A 25,290-nucleotide genomic window follows, 5' to 3' on the forward strand; every position below is an offset into this window, starting at 1 on the left:
TCTAGTAAAAGGGCCAGAGAGGCTGAGGACAGCCACCAGCCATTTCAAGCCAGAAAAATCTCAGTATCTGCATATATTGGGTGCTCGATATTTCTTGTTGGAAAAGGTATGGCCATGCTATTGCAATATGTAACTTTTTTATTTCCTCCTCTTTTCCAGACCATAATATTGCTTGCAGCTAGATTATTGTGGTAGAAAATGTTACCTCTGACACCAGCAGTACCCAGATTTTTAAATGTCTGAAACTGAATTTTATCTTCTTCTGAACCCTCCTGCTCACTAATACTTTGTTTCTTTTTCGAAGGGACTGATGAAATTCTAACTTGTATGTAAATTCTGTATACATGCTTTAAAAATGTGTAGTTCTGGAGAAGAGAATCTGGATTGCAAATGACAAATGGTTTCTTCTCTTGTGTCAAATTCTATTGATTGATTGAGCGAGGCTGCCTAGAGCACTGAGTTGGAAGGAATAGAACCATTCCAAGGATGGAGTTTTGTGATCAAGTAATGAGAGCAGTCAAAGCACAGGAGGTATCTTCTGGACCCTAAATGATATCTTCCCAGTCTATTTCTCAAAACCCCTGGCAGAGTCCCTGCATGGCCTGTAGCACAGGAGAGTCACAGAAAGCAGTAGTAGTTAAATGAACTGATAATGCAAAAAAGGTAAACGAACACACATAAAATCCCACAAAAACTCTGTATCTTTGCCTATTTAAGAAAATATAGGATATTTTGCATACTATTTTGAAATTGTAAAAACATGTTATCTACATATTTCAATATGCATAGAACATTTCTAGAAGTACACAAAGCAATAGTTACTGATTACTTCCTGGGAATGAGAATCCAACAGCTTGGAGGAACTCCTTTGCTAAGAGCATAATTTCTACAGGGAAGTACTCACCACCAAGTGCCTTGGTAAAGTATGAATTCTGAAAAAGTTAATGCTGAAACAAAATATTATCCCTAGACATTAACCTTCTTGGGAGGAGAAGGTTTTTCGGGTCACTGTAGGGCCCTAGCCTTTTTCTGAAGTAAAATAGGTGCTCAATGTATTTTGCTGAATGAATGATTCCATCAACCGACTAACCAGTGAATCCAAATATCTCAGATAAGGCTTGTAAATTATAACTACTGCTCAACTTCATCCAAACCTCTTTCTTGCTTATGACAACCAGGTAGATGAGAATTCACTTATTGGCTCTGTCATGTATTAGCTGTAGAATTTGGGGCAAATCCATATATTTTTTGAATTTCAGTTTCCTCCTTTGTAAAATGCGGATGATCCTCTTTTGCTTAGTTGTCAGGATTCCCTGGCATGGTGTTCACACGCCTTCCAAATCAGAGCCTGGTGAGTTGTAGGTGCCACTATAGTTAATTACTTTGAAATGCCACTTAATTCTTTCAAGGCTTACATTTTTTTCCTCTGTTTAAATAATGTGATAAGAACTTAAGTAAAACATATCCTACAAAAGTGTTATTGTTCAGCTCCTGTTATGTGACAAAATGTCCCAGACTTGGATCGCATTCCCTTTGAGCACTCACAAAAGTGGATGACATAATTTAAAGACAACACAGCTGAGCTGATTAATCATTTAGTGCCCTCCACTGAATCACACGTTTCTGTGGCTTCCCTAAGGTGTTTGCATATTTCTCTAATGCCGTTGGTGTGACTACAAGGCTATGTTTGTTCTTAACAGAAAATTTCATTCAGTTATTACATTTTGAGAGAGACAAATATAATACAGTGAAAATTTTGAAATGAATGCCATCCATATATATATGTTTTAAATTTTTTACAATCCTCTTTTCTTTTAGGCACAGCATGAACCCAAAGTGAATTTTAGTTTCTGTAAAGCATTTCTTTCATCCTTTTAGAAAAATCACATACATCATATTTTCTAGAATGACAGCCAATTTCTGTCCTTACACGTTAAGCATGTTTTCCTAAGTGTCTTAAGTGTTAAGAAAATATTGATAAAAATGGCAAATACTTTTGTCTAATCATAACCATGTTGGTCCAAATATTGAAGTTTTCTTAAGTTGTTTTAAAAGCTAATCATCTGAAGTCTAGACAGACGTTTTAGTGATTAAGTAAACTCTTTAGTCAATTCAGTTAAATAAATTAGGTATGACTAGCTCATTTTGATATCCTCTAACTCAGCTTACTGCCTTGTCTAAATGTAGTAGGCACTAATGAATATTTATTGATTTAAGTTGTTTGTTCTTTAAAGTGAAATATACTTAGGTTGAAACTAGAGCAAGTAATTTCGATAATGCATGTGAAATGCCTAATAGCCCCTATTCAGTCCTTTTCCAATTCATGTGCACCTTCCTTTGATTCATGAGTTTTATTTGCTCCTGCTACATTTTTGAGCCTGAATTTAAATGCAGATTGGCAAATGTTTTCCCAATATCTATTATCTATTTTGTTTTAATAATTGCTCATTGAGTTTTAAGTCACTCCCCATCATCTTTGTTCTAAGTGTCCCTCTGTTGTGAAACAGTATTACATATTATTTATAAATGACTTTAGAGAAAAAATAAAACAAAGGAGAAATACCACAGATATCAATGAGAGACTGCTTCTTACCAGCAGGTGTGATTCATTAATAAGTGAGTTCACTTTGAAAGGCAAATCATTAATATTTTTACTCCTATGAGACAATAACTCTGTAAGAGTTAGATTTGATCAAATAATGATTCGATGAACTGTAGGAGGATTCAGATTAACTATGAAATTATTACTTCTGGGAGTTTGCTTTAGTACTTTCAAATTTTTAAATATCAGAGCATGATATCTAGGCAATCAATAAGTCTAAGGAAAGAATAAGATTAAGATATCACCCAATGTGTTATTCTGTTAACAAGGAAGAAGGTTTTTTTATACACAACCATAATTTTACAGTTATGAAGTTTATTAAAATAGCTACACGTTGAATTATTTCTCTTGATCCTTTATAGTTTTAATTCTAGTAAGCCACCACTACAAACCACCAAGGAGAATATACTTCTATCATGTAATCTGTATTTTGTCACTGTAACCAAAACGAACCACAAAATGTGGTTTTTATTTTCTATATGACATAAATAAGGAGTTGCTATTCAAAAAGCTGAGGTTGCATTGGCTTTATAAAATTCAATTTCAAAGGTGGAAAACTGGGTGGTTGTTGTATATAAAAATCAGATTTTTTTTAACCCTCTCTTTTTGGAGAATTGGAAACAAAGAAAAATTCATGCATCCTCTTAGGATTCTCTGATCAACTTCACTATCACACATAAATAATCCATGTATCATTGAGACACAGAATTCTGTAGTGGGCCAACAGAACTACCCTTAGATATAGGCAACTGGGCAGGGCCCCACACTTAATGACCCCTCAGGTGCTTGGGGCCAGCCAGAGCCAGCAGTGCCATGTGAATGGGGTGCCCAGAGTCTGCAACAGGACACACATGGACCTCAGTCCTGGATTTTGGACTTTCTCTGGGCACTCTCCAAACCTCTCCCCTACACATTGGGTTGACCAGATGCCCTGAGGAGCTCAAACACTGACATCTCTGGGTTTATCCCTGAGACAGGACCAGATTCCAGAAAGGCAGGTTGCCAAGCATATCGCTCTGGGTCTCTGGCCTGTGATTTCTTTCACAAGATTGCGTGAGAATGGACCACAAAAACAGTGCTTCCATGCTGATTTGGGGGAAACCACAATCATGTCAGATTCAGGCCAAGTCAAGACCCTGGGCTATGAATTCCCAGCCAAACTTGAGCCGTGTGTGTAGACCCGTGTGTGATTCTGGCCTATCCATATTCTGATCTCCATGTTGCCTCCAGTCTACAGCACCTGGGTGTGGCAATGTGACCATAGGCATCCTTTACCCAGTGTGCTGCTGCGGCTGGCACCCGGGTCCCCCAACTGCTATACAGGCTCCATGTCACATGTCAGGCAGTCTTAGGGGTGGCTGCAGTTGTCTTCTCCCAGGGCTTCTAAGGACTTTTTTAATCCATAATTTTATCTTGTTTCTGACACACAATGGTTGTTTCTATACAGACTTTCAAAGATGTGCTAGAGGAGGAAGGAGCATTTCTAACTCCGTGGGATTACTCTTCTCACTCTGCCCATGGTCTCTGACTTGTGGACCCTACTGGTGGTATATGGATGGCAGTTCACATTCAGGAATGCAGTGATTACGGAGTACAAGAGTAGTTAGAAGATGCTAAAACATGTGTGTCCTATGATTACACTATAATATTCTGAATGGTAAATTTTACATGATCAGAAAAACTATTGTTCATTTTTTTCTGCATACATGAGGTAAGACTTGCCTTTGTGTTCATCTTGAATGAAACACAGTAGGAACTTTTATTTATCAGAGTCATACACAGGAAGCCAAAATTCCCAGGTGGCATAAGGGATGATGCTGCATCATGAGTAATAATGTGACCGACATTAAGTAAATTGTATCAGGGAACTATGAAACAACTATGAACACAAGATCTGTGCCGCTTCAATACAGACAAGTCCTAAAGAACCATGGCATTTTGAGAAATAGCAGCATTACCACCCTTTGCTCATGGTAGGAGATGTGATATTAGCCAAGAGGCGATGTACTTGACAATAAAGTGTATGAAGAAATGGTCCCTGAAAACTTCACCTGCACTAGATGGATAATAAACAGATATATAAATACTTCTTTCCTACCCATTGTTTTTTATCATCATCAATAAATCTCTATACCCAGTGAATTTACATAGTCATGCATTTTATAATATACTTCAAAAATAAAAGTTTATATAGACAAAGTCCTACCAAAAAAATTTGCCTGAAGGCTTGCATACACTAGTAGTGGCCCTGACGTCCTAAATTTGAAAAATATTTTGAACTATATCCTTATGCAATGCAAAAACCGCTAGTCAGTGTTTGTCCAGTTTCATCAATGTCAAGTACACTGCTAAGAAGCTCATAAAATCATCAATCAAACCATTATATTTTGGGTAAGTTCTCAGTTGTAAAAACATTCCTTCTAACATTGAATCAAAATCTATCTGTGCATTATATTCCTACAAGAGTGGACTTCCATTCTCACTGTACATCAAAACACTTGAGAACTTTAAAAAAAAATCAGTTGACCAGGCTCATGCCTCAGTGATTTGGTTTTGTAGGGGAAAAGAAATACCTTTTTTTTTTTTTTCGCCCATTGCTAGGCTCATGGCTGAGGCCCCTGTAACAAAAGACAGACTAACAAGAAAATATGAAATTCATTTAATACAAATTTTATGTGGTGCAGGAGCCTTCAGAAATAAAGACTCAAAGGAAAGGGAAACCGGTGTATTTTTATTCTAAGTTTCACAAAGAAGTAGATAGTTGTGGAGAAAGAGGTTTGGATAAAGGAAGTTTGATGTAGTGGTAATAAACCGGGAGAATTTAGCAAGGCCTGATTGTTCAGATTCTTTTCTGTGTTCCTCCCTGTGTCTTCAAAGCTAAGGACAATTCTTTCCTTCAGGTATAGAGTGGACCCCACTCCCATCACAGTCTTGTGACCTTCTTCAGAGGAAAGTCAGATAATTCTTCTATAGCCTCTTCAGGGTAGAAGGGAGAGAGGACAAAAAGACCTTCCTGCTTCTACTGCTTTCTCAAATACCAACGTTCCATATTTAGGGGTAGCATGTCCTGAACCCCATTAGTTTCACTTGGTTTGGGTGGAACCAAGATGCTGGTATGTTTAGAAGGTTCTATTGGTGATTCTAATGTATAGCCAAAGCTCTAGTGGTTCTTACCCCTGGCTCCATGATAAGATTACCTAATGACCTTTAAACATGTATCAGCATCCAGGCCCTACCTAAGACTAACTAAATCAGAATTTCAAGAGATGGGGCTCAAAGCCTGGTGATTTGTAATTTTCTAAAATATCAGATAATCCTAACCTGCAATGAGTGCTGAGAATTACTTTTATGGTGCAATTCCAGCAGGTGCTTTTATCTCTAGGTGGTGAAAAAGCACAATCTCATGTTTCCAAAGCGAGTAATTCCTTTGAAACAGACACAAACTTACTTGCAAATCTCGTTAAATGCCAATATTTGTTACGTTTGATCTAAAAATATTATGGTTCTTGTGATGTGTAACCACAAAATTCACCAGCTTTTAATGAATTTGGTTCATTATTTGCATGGAACTGTCCACATTCTCTAGAAAAGTAGAATAATTCTAATTTCATGTATGTTGTTACTCATCCATAAATGGACCCTATAAGCATCTGCAGACACTTTTGGAAATGTATAACAAGGAGATTCAGGAATATGCTAGGCAAGTTTCTACAGCCCCTTTCATTCCTAAAGGAAGAAACTTTTATGTGGTACAGGAGCCTTCAGAAATAAAGACCCAAAGAAAAGGGAAACCCCCTCTAAGATCAGAACTGCAAGATTACCCTCCAGCAGGTGGGAGTCAAAACAGGCTAACCGATAAGCAAAAAAGAGAACTGGCAGGCTTCAGAGGAACGCAACCAAATCTCAGACTTGTGTTTATCCAATCGATAAATGCCACAGCTCTTGAACAGCTGTTGTTTAAATTCATTTCTCTGTGGCAGAACAAAAGGAGCGTAATGAAAGCAATGCTATTAGAGAACTCATTAGAGTCAGTAAGGAGAAAGCAGACTTTAAGATAATCATTCTTAAGAGAGACAACATTCAGAGCATCTTTTGGTTCACAATACTATCAGTAGGCAGTACGGTGGTTAGGCAAAGCCAATTGCTTTTTCTGTAGAAAGATTACAGAAAGGAGAACGATCAATAGATCCATGGCAGAAAATCACCCTGGTTTGTGCAACCCTTTCGTTGGATCTTTTGTTGCTAATTCGCTTTTGGTAATATGAATCTCCTCTAGTGCCTTTCAGTGTTAGCATTCTAGGAGCAGTTAGCCAAGCAGAAAGGCCACAGATCAAGTCTATTGTCTGCTGGCAAAGGCTCCATTGAACCCTAATGGACATAGGAATCTAGCAAAACAAAGAATCCTTAGTGTCTTGTTCAAATGAATCCTACATCAGAGAAGGCCAAGGGAGCCCTTTGATTATCTGAAAAGGTAGTGATTAGAGGGTAGAAGGTGAACCTATTATGAACAAAAAAAAAAAAAGAAAGAAAGAAAGAATGTAAGAATAAAAGAAAGAAGAAATGAAACTTCTCTACTTGCAATGTTTCCTTAAGGATGTATTGGCCAAAATGTGAAAGAAAGCTTAAAGTTTCTTTGTATAGTGTTCTGTAGTACCCGTAGTTTACTCAAATGCAGAAATTTGCTATCCATTGTTCTAGAAGAGAAGCTACTTGCATTAGTCTTTCAAGCTTTTTTAGGTAGGTCATATTTGTGACAAGTGAGAGGAGGAAGAGAACACTCAGCTTTGTTGTACAAGTGGTTAGTTTTTAATGCATATGACTTCCAGAAATCAAATGATCTTTTCTCTAAAATCTCAAGCATCCATGTTTTAGTTTGAATTTGTAATCTCTGCTTTGGTTTTGCCCTTATTTCCTCCCCTACCCCTAAAATTCCTCTCTACTGATTGGGACCCTTTCACTATTGTTTGGTGCTTTCCTGATTAGAGTCAGGCTGCAAACAAAGAACTGGGTGCTGTAATGGCCAAAAAACAGTAGAGTAGAAGGCACTGAACCACTGAAATTAAGGGAAATGAAGGTAAACATAAGTTATCTTAACCTCCAGAAAGGGAAGTTGAACATCCCAGAAGTGTTTGCTCAAGCTGTTGCATCAACACAAATAGAAATCATCATGCACACCATTGACTGAATACTTACCATATGCCAATAAAGAGCAAACTCATTGAATATCCTCATAACTATCCTGAAGGATAGAAACAGTTAGTTTTGTTACTTTACAAGTGACAAAATTGAAGCTACAAGAGCATCAGTGACTTCCTAAAGTCATGTAACAACTAAGTAGAACAATGACTGGCACCCAGGCCCTATAGAGCCTTCCTGATCTTCCCTCCAACGCCTTCTCCAGATTTGTGTTTTCCTCCTCTCCATCCTACAGAGATTGTCTCCTAACCCTGTCCCTTCTGAAACTCCTACTAAGAAAAGGTCTGCCTTATTGCTGTCAGATTGTGAAATCTAGGACTTTGGTCAGAAATTAACATTTTATTCAATTGAAACATCTGGTTCCTCCTCACCAGTCCTATTTAAAATAACTCCTTATAAGGATCTTTAGAAAGAAAAGCGCAGCAAGGCAGATAATGCTTATTGCAGAGCTTTCAGTGCACCACATCAGCGCAGCTCTGGAAAAAGTGTAAGGCTTGTGTTGTTGTCTTCAGGAATAGCACACAACAAATGCAGACCTTTGGTCAGATGTAAGCAAGCGAGGAGTTTCACAGTGCTCTATCTGTGGCACGGGTGTTCTATTTGGTTCTCGTTTGATTTTTTGATTACTACTAAGATTGCTTGTATTAGTCCTTCTTCATGCTGCTGATAAAGACATACCTGAGACTGGGTAATTTATAAAGAAAAAAAGGTTTACTGGACTCACAGTTCCACACGGCTGGGGAGGCCTCACAATCGTGGTGGAAGGCGAAAGGCACGTCTTACGTAGCAACAGGGAAGAGAGAACAAGAGCCAGGTGAAAGGCGAAACCTCTTATAAAACCATCAGATCTCATGAGACTTATTCACTACCACGAGAACAGTATGGGGGAAACTGCCCCTATGAGTCAATTATCTCCCACTGGGTCCCTCCCACAACACGTGGGAATTATGGGAGCTATAATTCAAGATGAGATTTGGGTGGGGACACAGCCAAACCATATCATTGCTAGATCTAACAAATAAAAATGCAGGATGCAGAGTTGAATGTGAATTTCAGATCAAATATAATTGTTTAGCATAAGTAAATTTGAATTTCAGACAAATAATATCTAATATTCAATGTAAATAATTTTTAATATAAATATGGTCCATGAAATATTTAGGACATTCATATACTAAAGAGTTATTTCTATAAAACATTATATATTGTTTATCTGAAATTCAATTACAGCTGGATATGCTATAATTTTTCTGGCAAGTGTAGGCCTTGCTATGATGAGTCTTCGTATGATACACGGAACCTAGGATGGTCTATATGTGTAATTAGATCTTGTTTTTAAAATACAAAAAAAATTAAGACTCATGGTAAGATGGGTGCATATTTATTTACAATCTATTCTATGTTCCATTATGAGAAAATGAAAGGGCATGTCAGTTGGTGCCACATTTTCTTTGTAATTTTATTGTGATTTCACTGTAACTTGGTGGTCATTTCATTGATATTTCACTATATCAATTTTGGTGAAATATTTTCATTTTTCATTCATTCATTTTCTCAACAACCACTTATTGAGTGCTAACTATGGGCAAGCCATTTGACTCATTCTTTGGGGATTCAAAAAGGAACATGAGCCTGACATTACCTTTAAGAAATCTACTGTTCCACAGGAAATAGAAGAGGCAAAACTAAGTGCATAATATAAGGCAACATTAAAAAAAAAACTCCATTAAAATAGTGTAAGTTCCTGAGAATTCAGAGAAGGAAAACATCACTCTTGTCTGAAGTTAGGGGCAGGGTAGGGTAGGGATGAATAGTCCTCCTATCAGGTCATGTGGAAAAAGAAAAAAGTTGTAGTCAGTAATCAGTGTTTAAAATTCAGTCACTTTAGAATGTATTCACTTTTGTTACCCAATATTTTACAACAATGACACTTTCATATATTAATGTTTGTAATATAATAATTATTTTTAAAGTAAAGAATGGCCAATACCCTCAGTCACCTTTTGATGGGCCTTTGTTGTTTTGCCTGGGTAGTTTTATTTTTTTTATTTTATTTTTTTTTTGAGACAGAGTCTCACTGTGTCACCCAGGCTGGAGTGCAGTGGCACCATCTCGGCTCACTACAACCTCTGCCTCCCTAGTTCAAGCGATTCGCCAGCCTCAGCCTCCTGAATAGCTGGGATTACAGGCGCCTGCCACCACCACACCCAGCTAATTTTTGTATTTTTGGTAGAGACAGGGTTTCACCATTTTGGCCAGGCTAGTCTCGAACTCCTGACCTCAATCTGCCCGCCTCGGCCTCCCAAAGTGCTGGGATTACAGGCATGAGCTATTGTGCCCCGCAGGTGGTTTTATTTTTAATGTTGCTAGTAGTTAGCCTTAAGTACACATTAGTAAGCTTCACCATGTTTTCTCACTTTGCCAGGACCAACAAACACCATTTTCACATTTAGGTATTAACTCTATTCTACTTTCTCAGTGCCTCACCTAGGAAAACTTATTTATTTTCTCAGGGCCTGTTTTTCGTTTATTTGATTTTACAAATATAATGTAAATATCTGTATAATATGACTCCTATATTCCCACCAGGAATAATAATGACTGCAGTGCCTGCGGGAGACTTCAATCTCCTTAGGGATTCTAAAATACCAAGAGCTATTCCGAATAGCTCAGCCCAGCTGCGACACATTCCTCAGATTGGTGGTAGTTTTGAAGAGCTGCTGGCCAGATATTTCAACTTGCAAACTCCCCAACTTGCAAAGCTGCTGCTGTTTGCACTTTAGCTCTGGGTCTTGAAGTTCTGCCTCTTCGTGCTTATTGGGTTTACACTGTGTGAACCAGGACTGCAGAGGAAAATTGCTGCTGTTCTCATTATTGCATGTCTGGATTTGGGCTCCAGCTGACATGTTTATTTGGTTTGTTGACTTCAGCCCTGGAATTCATTTCTTTCTGCTCTCTTCAATTATTACTACTTCCTTTTGTTTATATAGCTCCAAGAGACTCAAAGATATGCCCAGGTAATTAATTCTTTCAGCATCCTCTCCTAATAGAGAAGATCATTTCATGAATATCAAGAATAGCCAAGCAATGTTCATCAATTTTTGTGTTTACCTTTCATTTCCTCCAATCCCATCAATGTTTCAATGCAAACCATTCCCTGAAAACTAAGGGTAAAGCTAATATGCAAACTAGTCATTTACTTCAAAATATCATTTTCCTGCCATGGTTAAACCATCTGTGGGGGATGGTCAATGAGCTTCGCCTGGAAGCCTCTGGGAGAAACCCCAGTTATTCCACTTTCCTCTACGGGACATTTTTTTCCTTATTATTCAACAAGAATGAGACATAATCACATCAGTCTACAGCTTCAATTTCAGCAAACTATTTTTTTGGCTTCAGTGTTATTATAGGTTAAATTGTAAGTATTTTGCATGAAGGAATTGTCAGTATTTGTCTTCCAATTAACTGATAAAGCCCCTTGGAATTTCACTGTAACATGTCAGAGGCCTTAGCTGGAAAACCATCGTTGGATGTCAAGTTTAATATGGTTGCTCAGTGACAGTTGGGATTACCCTGTGTTCCAGCACAATTCCAACTGAGAAATATTTGTCATGTTTAATTGACAATTTAGTGTTATAATTATGTATTAAGTATATTTACTCCACTCAAGCATTAAGGTAAGTAAATACTAGTCTTTTCCCCTCACAAGACTTTGGGAAAATCATGCTAGATATTTCATTATCTACTTACAGAGAGATTGTCTGTAACCACATAACTCTGCCTTTTGGGAATGGCATCTCTTACATTTTATGTATGTGATCAGTGTCAGAGCAGCATGGATTGCTACTTGGGATCCATCAAAGGAGGACCAGCCTCAGACCCCTTCTCTGCTTAAGAAACAGAGCCTGATCTTGATCCTAAAGACATCTGTTTAGGATTACCTAATATATTTAAATGCTCCCCTGTTGGCCTCCAATTTTTTGCATAATCCTGTACAATTCTTATCTCCCAAAGGTGCCACTCTTGCTTAGAATGAGATAGAGTATCTGCCTGACTAGAGATTTATGCCTGAGAATTGTGAATTCTTCCTTGTAGAAGTTTGGGTTCTTTTTTTTCAGCATTTATACTGAGTGTTACAGAAAAAGAGAATAAGGGAAAGGAGTGACACATGATTCTTTTCCATTGTCTTCTATTATCTCTTCTATTTTTAAAATTGCATTTTTTCTCCTGGGAAATGCCTTATTTGCATGGCTGTGTGGCTATGCAGAAGTCAGGCTGGAGTAAGAAGTGGTAGTTTCTATAGACTGGGTGAAGGTCCCTGCAGTGCACCAGTTTTTTTTTTTTTTTTTTCTGTACCAAGATAAAAATAACGTTTCTTTATCTTTGTGAGTGACTGAATAGGGTTGAGGTTCTTATTCGTGGACTCTCATCTCAAAAAGCGTTCGACTGTCAGGACAGGGGTAAAGTCCCATGATTTGCTACTGCTACTGCTGACACAGCAAATAAAATGAGATAACGATGCATAAGAACTGTGCACAGTTGAAAATCATTATGGTGCAAATATTACAGTGATTATTTCCAAAGCAATAAACCCACAGCATTAAGAAAAGATGATGAGCCAGGCACAGTGGCTCACACCTGTAATTCCAGCACTTTGGGAGGCCGAGGTGGGTAGATCACTTGAGGTCAGGAGTTCGAGACCAGGCTGGCTAAAATGGTGAAACCCCATCTCTACTAAATTATATTTAAAAATTAGCTGGGCATTGTGGCGGGCACCTGTAATCGCAGCTACTCGGGAGGCTGAGGCAGGAGCATCACTTGAACCCAGGAGGTAGATGTTGCAGTGAGCTGAGATCGTGTCACTGCACTCCAGCCTCGGTGACAGAATGGGACTCTCTCTATCACACACACACACACATCCAGGGACAAGTCCAAACTTATAAAGAAGCAGATAAATATAGAGATTGAAAGATTTGGAGAAGACCCTACAAATTCATTTTCTCTCCTTCCCTCTACTGACTCCATCCTCACACAAAAATACATCCATTCCAGCCATTAGCGCTTGCAGTAATTCTAGGATTTGCTTTGCTGAACCTATTCAAAATGCAAACACTGTTGAGAGCAGCAAGACCCTGTGTAAGCTACCATGTATCAGCTCAAATTATTTTACAATATCTGGTAGAAGAAGTGTGAGTAAATTAAGAAGAGGTGCTCTAGTACTCTAAATTGAGCTGGGTACTCAGGAGGAAGAGTTACGGAGCATCTGCAACCTAAGAGCTGGGCAGCTCTTCAGAAGCTCCTGTGGGGGTATCTGGAGACTTAGGTCAATTCTGAGCCCAGAGTGAGTGGTAAAGGGGAAGAGGGGCAAGATAGAAAAAAAGAGGCCAAAGGAGGTAAATGAGTTACAAGGGACACTGAAATAGGCTTCCCTCTATTCACAAGTAACCCTGGTGCTGGGAGTCTCTGAGTATCTCATTAAGAATCCGCAGGCCAATGGCAAAATGTGTAACCATTTTCCCTTACATTTTGAGACCTCTTAAGTGAGTCAGCTGCAATATAAATCTTTATTTCTGTAAAAATGCACTGTTAAGAAAATATTACTATGTATCATCTGGTGATCTAACTGTTAGAACTGGGAATTAATCAGAGGGAAACAATCACCCCTGGAAGGCTTTGCTGCTGACTAAATATGTGTAAGATAAAATTAGTACAAATGGGTAACAAGAAATGATTTCCATATTTTACTGACAAGTAATATTAGGAATCATTATCTTAATGTTTTATGAACTTCTGGTATCATCAAATGACATTCTCAAGTAATATTATGATCAGGAGCAGAACTTTTCATCCCTGCATGACATAAGCAGAGAGGTTCTGTAGTGTTCAATCATATATAGATAAAGATATACATGATATAGATAAAGATACAGAGAGAGAAAGAGAGAGAGAGAGAACAGGTTTACCTGCTTAGAGAATTATTGTTTTCTTTGTTAGGGCAGAGGAAAGAGAAATTTAAGCTTACTGTTGATAAACTCTATATATTCAGAAGGCCCTAGAAAACCATAATCATTACCACAAATTTTCTTTTTCCAGTTAGTTTCTTTAAAATGAAAAATCTGTCTGTATAATTTAAAAAGCTGTCTGCAGCTCATACTCTGAATGACGAAAGGGTAGGAGGCTGGAGAAAGCAAGAGTGAAAGGCTTTGTGCTTCATCCGGAATCACCCTTCTGTAAACCACTGGGCATAATTCCTCTGTAGCAGATGCTAAGGTTGTTGAATGGTTTAGAGCCTGTGCAGCCAATTGTGTGAGGAAAGACTGTGTTGACAAGACAGAAAGCGGAGCTGAAGAAGATAGGATTAAATGTGACCCACTTGCCCTCCCCTCCCACTGTCAGTGTGACTTCTATGTCTTTTGAAGGGGGACCTGTGAGTGGGACCTAAGGCCCTCCAGAGTCTAGGTGAAAAGACTGCAGCAGAACATTCTTGGTCAGGCCCAAAAGGAAGCTCAGGGATGGAGGTGGATCAAAATGACTAGTTTGCTGGAAGGAGCTTAGCTAGAGGAGATCCATGGTCCCTGATGAGAAAGCAACACCAACCTAGAGGAAATTCGGGGAGGAGGTGCTTGTCTCTCTCAACCCAGGGAGCTATGCAAGACTACATTTCCCTAACCCCTCATGGTGGGAGCAGGTGGCCTTCGCAGCAAAGGAGACCTGGAGGCAATGAGCCTTCCTTCAGTACCTATAAAGTGGTGACAACTTGCAGGCCCACACTTCCTGCAGCCTACCGTGGGGCCATTACCTGAGAACGGAGGCATCTGGAACCAAAGTCCAAGTAAAGAATACATAGCTACAGGTGATACACTAGAACATGACCCCACAAATAATAAGAGAACCTAAAGAGATTCAGTGAAAGCATATAAGGTACCTCTGGATCTTAACAAATATGGTTTATAAATTTTAAAATTCAGTAGAAAAAAGAAAACAATAAGTCATTAACATAAAGAAATAAAATAATTCAATTGATAGGCTCAATTAAACAAATTAAATATAGAACTATAACATACATTAAATAGAGAATATATGTTTTTATGTATCAATAAAACAATTATAAGAAATAATTAGATACTTGTGTATAACGGAAACTTTAACCAATTTTTCATAACAGATATTTTTTTCCATCTGATCAAAGAAAAGTTTGGAAATCTATTATTTTAAAATGACTCAAAACATTGTAACTCCTGGAAATTAATAAACAGTCTCACAATTAAAACAGAATAATTGAAAAAGATTCTACAAGAAAAGGGAATTACGCAGGCAGTATTAAATTGTACCTTTCTCTTGACCTTGCCCGTGAAAGCAATAGACAAGCAACATGTAGAGGCCAGAGTGGCTCAGAAAGTGAGGCTGCTTTCCAGAGTGAAGCAGCCTTCAGGCGGTTATCATAGGAAAAAACATGGAATAGCACAAGGCATTCAAGCCTGCAGAACTGTTTCTTTGAGGGTGTGAGACATCTATATATGTGTTTCTTTACATTTCCATTGTTATTTTGTATGTGTTCTGAGTTGGTATTTAGTATTAGCCATATATAATAATATGTTTGGGGAAATATATATTATATATGGTATTGTATTATATATATGTATATGTAATATGTACAAATTATATAATATATATGTGTATATATACATACACACATATATATACACACACACAGCTATAGATATCTCTGTGTGTGTGTGTGTGTGTGTGTGTGTAAACCGGCATGCCTTAGTGGCACTTTTGGAAGCCAAGCTATTTGAAGCCAGACTACAGAGAAAGCACTGAAGAGGGGGATAGTTCTAAATATTTAGGATCCATTTGACTATGAGGATGAGAGAAGCCCCCTTGGTAAAAGTTAAGGAGTGTGACTCAACAGCCATGTCTTCCCCTTGGAAATTTACTTCCTCAAAAATCTTGAGACTTTTGGGTCTCAAGGAAATATACTTCCTGGACCCAAAAGCCTTGAGAGATTTGTGTTGTGCTTATCTGGGAGTCTGTTCATGGCTAAAACCAAACAAGAACCTTCATGGAAAGTCCTTTTGCTCTGTTCTTAAAGTTTGCACTTATTTTAAGTTCTTGAGGTAGTCACTTTTTTCTCCTTTTCCTCTCATTAGCTTCAGTCATCATTTAAAACATTGTCTCTGTGACTAGTTGCTTGCTTTAGAAAAGCACCAAAATATATGACCTTTATAGAAATTACTCTTCCATTTGTCTCTGTCAAGTCTTCAAATTTAGCCACCTGCCTGCTATCACACAGATACCCAGGAAATCTTGGTCCTTCCTAAATGTATCACCCGAGTGGCTGAAATTGCAAGTTGGCAAAAACTGGAGCAGTTGGGCACCAGAAGGAGCTTCCCTCTATAGTATGTTTATTTTATTTTATTTTTTTTGAGAAGGAGTTTTGCTCTTGTTACCCAGGCTGGAGTGCAGTGGTGCAGTCTCGGTTCACTGCAACCTCTGCCCCCCGGGTTCAAGTGATTCTCCTGCTTCAGCCTCCCAAGTAGCTGGGATTACAGGTGCCCACCACCACGCCCGGCTAATTTTAGTATTTTTAGTAGAGACAGGGTTTCACCATGTTGGCCAGCCTGATCTCAAACTCCTGACCTCAGGCAATCTGCCTGCCTCAGCCTTCCAAAGTGCTGGGATTACAGCGGTGAGCCACTGCGCCTGGCCTATAGTGTGTTAAGAACAAGTATAGGCAAAACTACACCAAAAGCATTTTTCTTTGCTTTGTGCTTATGAAGCTCCATGTTAACAAATAAGGCAGATTCCCCTGAGAAATGCAAGGTCATGAAAAAGCTAACTGCCATTATGTAGATAGATAGCCCCCAAATGTTCAGGCCACTGTCATCTAGAGAATTAATAGTCTAAGATGGACTGTCGTTAAGGTCTCCAGTCAGTTTGTATAGAGATAGGGAAGAATAATATTTCATTGACATGCTATTCAGTGTCTTCTTTTTTGGTCAAATTCTTCGTTTGCCCTGTCAGGGTGTAGATGTGTGATATTCTAGACGGCTCACAGTTGGTTCCAATAAAGCCCAAACTGCCAGAAAAACATGAGTGACTTCCCACGTGGAAGTTTTCAAGGATTGTTAGTATTAGCTCAGTATTAGTTAAGGTTGTGTCAGTCAAGCTGCTGCAGAAAACTCCAAAATATATAAAAGGCCAACCCCAGCAGACACTTATTTCTTGCTTGTTTGAAGTCCAAACTGAGTGTTCGTAACTAGCAGGCACCTCTTTTCCAGATCATGATGCACAGGAACCCAGTTTTCTTCGAAATGGTGGCTCTACCATGTTTTACACGAAGCTTATAAGGTTACTTGGAGAACAATCCCCTTTCTAGCCAATTTGAAGGGGGCAAATGTGGCTTTGTCTTCTTTCCATCTGACTAAAGATTGGATTTTATTCTTTGACACTGCATAGTCTATCACCAAAAGCACACTAAATGTAGAGTTCATTCAGTTCAGCTAGCTGGGAAACAGGATAAGCTCACTGCAATTTCTCCCTTAGCTAAGGGCTTTACATCACCACAGGTTTCAGAGCCTCCACCTGGCAAACTGAAATTGCTCCTGCTCTTGTGTGGACCCAGGATAAGGTGATGGGTCAGATAACCGCCTCTTTATCCCCATACAATCTACATGCTGACACCAAAACCTTGTCTAAGCATAAGCAAAAACAGGGGAAGATTCAGTAAATGTCATTCCGCTGCCACTGGGCACCACTTGATGTTTGTGGAGACTGACATGGAGAAAAGCTCCGGAGAAATCCCCCTTTGGCAGTGCAGCAGAAATTTCACATTCGCCCTAAAATCACTTGCTGAGCTATTTGCACTCTGCCACAAAAGTTTCCATCAGCAGGAAGGACAGCTGGGAGTTTGGGTATTACAATGCCACTTTGGCCTGTGTTTGCTAAGAATCACTGACTGGGAGATTCTCCAGTTTTCCTGGTAGTTCCTGTACGGATCTTAAGGAGGTACCTCATTTGAGAAAGAAAAAAGTGAATCCATAAGGTAATAGCTTAGATGCCAAAGTTATGGACAAACAACGAAAATATTTAGATAATTTGGGTGCAGAAATGATGCTTCCAGGGCACAGTCTGATAGGCATCCAGACACTGGAAGGGTAACTACAGTAGTGTGTCCGGAATTGGTGGGTTCTTGGTCTCACTGACTTCAAGAATGAAGCCGCAGACCCTCGCGGTGAGTGTTACAGTTCTTAAAGGCGGCGTGTCCGGAGTTTGTTCCTTCTGATGTTCGGATGTGTTCGGCCTTCTGGTGGGTTCGTGGTCTCACTGGCTCAGGAGTGAAGCTGCAGACCTTCGCGGTGAGTGTTACAGCTCTTAAGGCGGCACGTCTGGAGTTGTTCGTTCCTCCAGGTGGGTTCGTGGTCTCGCTGGCTTCAGGAGTGAAGCTGCAAACCTTCGCTGTGAGTGTTAAAGCTTTTAAGGTGGCGCATCCTCCCGGTAGGTTCATAGTCTCGCTGGCTTCAGGAGTGACGCTGCAGACCTTCGCGGTGAGTGTTACACCTCATAAAGGCAGTGTGTACCCAAAGAGTGAGCAGTAGCAAGATTTACTGTAAAGCGCGAAAGAACAAAGCTTCCACAGTGTGGAACCGGGACCCAGGTTGCCACTGCTGGCTTGGGCAGCCTGCTTTTAGTCTCTTATCTGGCCCCACCCACATCCTGCTGATTGGTCCATTTTACAGAGAGCTGATTGGTCTGTTTTACAGAGAGCTGATTGGTCTGTTTTGACAGGGTGCTGATTGGTGCGTTTACAATCCCTGAGTTAGACACAAAAGTTCTCCATGTCCCCACTAGATTAGGTAGTTACAGAGTGTGGATTGGTGTATTTACAAACCCTGAGCTAGACGCAGAGTGCTGATTGGTGTATTTACAAACCTTGAGCTAGATACACAGAGTGCCGATTGGTGCATTAACAATCCCTTAGCTAGACATAAAAGATTCTCCAAGTCCCCACTAGACTCAGGAGCCCAGCTGGCTTCACCCAGTGGATCTCGCACCAGGGCTGCAGGTGGAGCTGCCTGCCAGTTCCGCGCATTGCACCCCGCACTCCTCAGCCCTTGGGCAGTGGATGGGACCGGGCGCCCTGGAGCAGGGGGCGGTGCTCGTGGGGGAGACAGTTGGGGAGACTCAGGCATGGCGGGCTGCAGGTCCCGAGCCCTGCCCTGCGGGGAGGCAGCTGAGGCCTGGGGAGAAATCGAGCACAGCGCTGGTGGGCCAGCTGCTGGGGGACCCCGCGCACCCTCCGCAGCTGCTGGCCCAGGTGCTAAGCCCTTCACTGCCCGGGGCCAGCAGGGCCCACCCGGCCGCTCGGAATGCGGGGCCCGCCAAGCCTCGCCCACCCGGAACTCCAGCTGGCTGGCAAGCGCCGGGCGCAGCCCCGGCTCCCACCAGTGCCTCTTCCTCCACAACTCCCCACAAGCTGAGGGAGCCTGCTGCGGCCTTGGCCAGCCCAGAAAGGGGCTCCCACAGTGCAGTGGTGGGCTGAAGGGCTCTTCAAGCACGGCCAGCATGGGTGCCGAGGCCGAGGAGGCACCCAGAGCGGGCGAGGGCTGCCACACGCTGTCACCTCTCAGTAGTATGTGTGGCCTTGACAATCTCTGTCACTCTCTGCCAATTGGAGCTTAATTGTAACTGCTCAAGCAGTCCCCTGCCTGATGCGGGCAAGTCTCAAGAAATCAGCCACTGAAGCTTGCTGCCCAGGAATGGCATGAAATTCTACAAAGCCCTGCTCACTTTGTGGTCTCTGTTTCTGTGGTTTACTAAGCCTCTTCTTCCTCCGATTATTTATGTTAATCTTGCATTCCAAGTCTTTCCTTGTGCCTTGAAGCTCTTCCCCTAGCCCTGTCCCGTTGATCCCTCTGACTCCTCCATTCCTTCATACCCCAGAACTACATGGTCATATGGCACTCATTTCCCAGTCCTATCTTATGATCTTGTTCTTTATACAAAATCCAAACAACCTTCCTACAGCCTGAATACAGTTATCATGACCAACTTTTATTACCCTGTATTTCATAATTTAAATATTTTCTTGTCTTGTCTCTCTTCTTCCACTTCAAAACATACCCATCTTCTTTACCTTTCCCTAATTTCTAAACTCTACCCTCACTCAGGAGGTAGTTAAATAACCTGTCAATTAAATTCTGAAACATGTTCAGTTTGGTTACAGATAAACGTGCCCTATTCCCTAAGGAATAAGTCTGCATAAAATATAGATGTTCTGAACAGTGCTTTGACAAAGCAGGTGACTGTAGTGGTAGGGACATCTGGCACTATGGTAGGGTTGTAGGGGAGATGTTTAGGGAAAGATAAGATTTTTTGTGGTCTGTAAATAACACAATAAAATGCCTCTCTGCTTACCCGTAGAACCACCACAGACTCATACTTTTTCTAAAAATGCCATAAGAAATCTCGTCAGACAATTACCACTGATATATGTATAGATTGTTTAAAATAAACTGACATCATATTTAACTGTATTTTTTATTCAATGCATTAATATAAGTACAAAAGGCTAGAGTTGCAATAGTTAATTTACCCTTTGGATTATTAAGAAATGTATATATACGTCTATCTATCATGTTCTCAATTTATTTGACCTCTTGGATAATCGGGAGATTAAAATAGTAGTATATGGAATAAGATTATGTAATGGAGAAAACATCTGAGTGTAGAGATGAAAATAGCAACAATTGTCTCTGCATAAATAAGCAATTGAAGAGTAAGAGTGACAGCTCTATAGGAATTGGTAGAGGATCAATACAAGTCAATAGAAAAACTCAAGACAAGGACAGGTAGTAAAGAATGTAAGAACACAAAGGCTTAATAAATGCTAGCTAACAACAGTGAGATTCATTGATCACAGTATAGCCAGATGGCTCACGGGGGTTTCAGAAGCCAGTGAGACTCTAGCCCAAGCTGGTGTCCAGGTTCTTGACACCATCACAAGAAAGAATTCAGGGACAAATCGGAATGAGGCAAAAGACAAGAAGATTTTCTTGCGAAGTGAAGGCACCCACTTGAGAGAGAAGTGTGGGTGTGTTCCAGAAAGTGAGTATCATCCAAGGGAGTTTGAGTTTCTGATTTTATGGGCTCTTCTAATTAGGAGGTGGAGTAATCATAAAGTTTTCTAGGAAAAAGGTGGAGATTTCTTATAATTGAGGTGCCACCCATTTTTATAACAAGTATGGGTATGCTTGGCTCTATCATGGGGCTGGTGGGTGTATGTATGGTAATGAGTGTAAAATTAGGTCTGGGCTAAGGCCTGGGTCAAATCCAGCTCCCTGTGGGACCCGGTGGTCTCAACCAGCTCAGCCCTCATCCTGTTTGTTAGGATCTTACCAGCCCAGCCTCCTCTTTGTCCTTGTAGATAATTTTTAACAGCTCCTTTCTTAATGTTATATGAAACAACTGCTTGGCATTTTCCCATTTTTCCTATGACCACCCAGCATCCCTATTTTATGGGTGTATCTTTAATTAAGGGGTGGAATAATCATTAGGTTTTCTGGAAAAGGAGGGGATTTCAAGGATCCTCCTTCCTCCATTACTGCCCTCTTTCTCCTTCATTTGGGTTTGCTTGGAAGAGTCATGGATATGTCACCTTGACTAGGGTTTTGGCCATACTCTCTCTCTTATTTTGGGTTTTCTGTTACCCTGTGGTTTCTTTGACTAGTTCTTGTTTTAGCTGTTGTTTGGGTTTTTCCACCCTCCTGTGACTACGCAGTGCTATTCCTATCTCAACAGCAATGTAGGCCCATTTGCAGTAAACTCAATCATCAGAACGCCTTCACAATGGCATACAATGAAGATTGATATACATAATAATGACTATAAATCACTGAGAATTTCAAATGCCTCTGAATCACTAAAAATTTGATTGTGCTCAGTATCATTTTAGGAATAAATGTATTTATTTCTGAATAAAGAGACTTAAAATTTTTTTTTTTTTGCAAGCAGCTATTTCACTAAGGATCATACAATTTCAGAGCTAGAAATGCCCTGTTGCAGTACAAAGTTGAGTTGTTAATTCAGTATAAAACATCAGACCAAATGGTTGTTGGGAAGATTGGAAAATGGGGGAAAATTTAAAGCCTAGGCTACATAGCAGGGGTGAAGGGAGAGGTGGGGTTCCAGGGAGGCATGGTTGGTTGGCATGGGATCCAAGAATAACAAACATGATTTGACAAATTCCTAACAGGATAAATTCATACAGCTGAACCCATGTGGTCTATGTGGACAAAAATCCATGGACAAACCACCAAAGCATGGGAAAAAATAGTGGCCAGTAGTCCGATAGGATATTCAGTGGGATTGCTTAGAATCTGCAAGGGATCTTAGTAGTCTGTCTTCTACGTTACCCCATTTTGCCAATGAGGGAAACTAAGGTTTAAGTAAAGTGAATTGTCCAAGGTCACACAGTTAGAAGTAGCAGATTTCAGCCTTATATTTAAGTTTTATAGCTTCTGTGCAACATTTCCTCCAGTCTAAAAAGCAGCCTCTAGGCAAACATGCCTCCAGGCTCAAAGCATCCAGTATATCACTTAGTTCTTTTCTTCTCTGGACATAAAAGTCAACCAGTGGCCAGAGGAGGAACCCAGAGTCAATCTCTGCTGTTTTCTTTTTTGAAAATTCATCATACGACACACAGTGTCTCAGACTAGATGACCTAACATTCTTGGATCCTCCTTCTGAAATAAAAGGAGAAAGTATTCCTCATGGGACTGTAAATTACATCAACTCACTACCTGCTGTCCTTTCACTGTTCACACAGGTAGAGCTGGGTCCTTTAGCCCTAAATCAGTTTGAAAAACAAACAGGTAGAGCTTTAGTGTCTACTTTTGCCTAATAATGGGGTAGAAGATAGATAAGACCACCTTGACCTCAAGGAGCTTACAGCTTACAGATTATTTGCCATTTAGATGAATCCAAACAAGAGAATTGTTCTAAATCACTTTAACAAATAATCGACCTTTGTCATTGTTGCTTTTTAAAAATCACACCATAAAACAATTGAAAGTGATTTGCTGTAGCAGAAGGCATGTGGTGATGGTACAGTCTTCCTGCCGTGAATGTATTATTTTTCTATTTTCAGATAAATCTTGATGCTATCAATACAACATAACTTTAATTGATTTGCTTGATATATTTTTACTAAATAAAAGCTTTCCAATATAAGTACATTTATTATGCATTAATTTTACTATACTTTATGTTCCATATTACATAGCATAGATAATGCACTAAAACAAAATTTTTGGAGCTCTTGGCTTTTTTGACATTATGAGCAAATGATCATCTGGCTTAAAATGGTAAGCACAAAAAATATAGTTGAGTTGGACTCTCCTTGGACATAACTCTCCACACCTGGCCCCAAGGTCATGCTCTTCCCCTGGGAAAGTATCTGGCTGCCCAGTTATCTTTTCCTCCCTTAGCCAGCCACCACCACCTGAGCTTTCTCCTTGTGTTCTATGGTATTATTTTTTTTCTTTTAATTATCAGGTCCATAATTATAAATACAGTGATTGAAAACAACTGGCTTTTCACTTGTGTTTTCTTTCCTAAGTGATAACTAAGAATTTTCTGTGCCATTTTACTCTGTTCTTCAACAGTGATCATGTGTTAGAAAGTGATGTATGCTTCTTCAATGTTCCTTAGCCAGAAATCATTCAAGAGATTTATTTTTAAAATTATATGTTAAACGTTTTAAATAAATAGTCCATTCACAAGTATAAATCAATAAGAATAGCATGGCCCTGAGCTAAGACTCTCATCCCTTCTGGCTGTCCATATCCATATGCTTCCTCCCACCTTTCTCAGAGGTTGCTACTGTTCATCCATATATTTTAATCGGCAGTGGCACTTTGCACTCTGTGAGAAGATACAACTATACATCCGCATTCCTTCTTCTTTAGGACAGTTTTATCATATAAAGTGCACTGTTCCACTTATTGCTTTTCTTTCCTTTTTTGGGCTTAATGCTTTCAAGCACTTCCATATTAGTGTATACGGTATTCTCATTGATTTTTCAAAAGTACATATTGATGGGTTGTTTCTCAAATACACGTTTCTCAAATGTAGATTCACAAGTACGGGTGTTTTGTGCAGGGGAATTGAGATACCTAAACACTATTCCATGTCTGTTCATAACTGAATCAAGGCAAAATAAGCTCTAGTACTTCACTCTGTAAAAAACAGTTCACCTGTTGTTAAATACACATTATTTCGCAGTTGTTAAATACACATTATTCACTGTTCAAGGTTTAGAAGAACTTATAAGAACATATATACTTTACATCATAGACTGATGTCTGTGAAGCCAGTTTAGGTATGCAAAATGTCAATAATTAATTCTTCACTGATCCATCCATGATGGGGAGCCCTAATTTTCTCACTAAGGCAGCTAGAATAATTGGATAGTCCTGTCATTCCACTGTTCCTTCTGAGGTGTGCACAGAATTAGTAATGTAATTATCCTATAATGAAGTCATAAACTCATAGAGAGTTGACACTTGTTGATAGCTTTGTAGTATATCAGAAATTGTAATGACCTTTTTTACAAGGATTATCTTAAAGTCTTAAAATGTCATAAAATTATTATCATTCTGATATAATGGCCAAGAAAAATGAGGCAAAAAGAACATAGCAATTAACCATAGCCCATAATATTATATGATCCAACCAATATTTGAACTCCTGTCATCTGAAAACAGAGCCTTAGATCTTAGTCCCTATACTCTGCTAATGAGATGTCTCTGCTAACTCACCCAGGAGTCTCATCTAACAGTTTCCAAGCCAGGTGGAACAAAGCTAACATTCTGGCTCCACTATTTACTGGTTATATCTTCTTGGGAAAGGCTCTGAACCTCCCTCTGAGCAACAAAGGATAAACAAAACTTAGGGCCACTCAGTTGAACATTGCATCCATTTTGTGTGGTGTTCCCCTTGGTGTTATGCAATGTTACATTGTTGTAAGGGTCGAATGAGAATACTTATAAAATTAGATATATCCCCTGCACAAATAAATGCCCAACAACTGAGAACTTGAAAAATAACAGAAAAATAACTGATGATAGAAGTGGCATCAGTCAGAGTTCATTTCCTAAAGACACTCTAACTCAACCAGAATTTGTGGATATAAACAAAACTCAATGTCCTTGAAATGCTTAGTAACAGCATCAACTTTTTGAGATATTGGGGAAACTCAGAAAAGTCAGAGGCTAGTGTGGTCTCCAAAGAGCTAATTTGGTTGCAAGATATCACATATAAGCACCTCTCTATTGACTCATAGTAAGCATGATACACCCTGAAAAGAAAAAAAAAAAAAAAACCCTACAAAGCAGCTGAAATATCTCTACTCCAAATTTGACTTAATTTATTTTATTACTGGAGAAGCAGCAGAAGCTGAAGTTTTCTCAGCTGCTGAAAGTCCAAAT

At 39.6% G+C, this 25,290-nt stretch overlaps 1 annotated feature.

Moving 5' to 3' along the window:
• Positions 6,401-7,366: an enhancer, noted in NCBI's record as "OCT4-NANOG hESC enhancer chr18:25241352-25242317 (GRCh37/hg19 assembly coordinates)". NCBI's record gives its function as "activates a minimal SCP1, AML or CMV promoter by ChIP-STARR-seq in naive and primed H9 embryonic stem cells {active_cell/tissue: H9 hESC(naive and primed)}" and the evidence as "EXISTENCE:reporter gene assay evidence [ECO:0000049][PMID:30033119]".

This window comes from Homo sapiens, chromosome 18 (assembly GCF_000001405.40).
Source record: "Homo sapiens chromosome 18, GRCh38.p14 Primary Assembly".
NCBI lineage: Eukaryota > Metazoa > Chordata > Mammalia > Primates > Hominidae > Homo > Homo sapiens.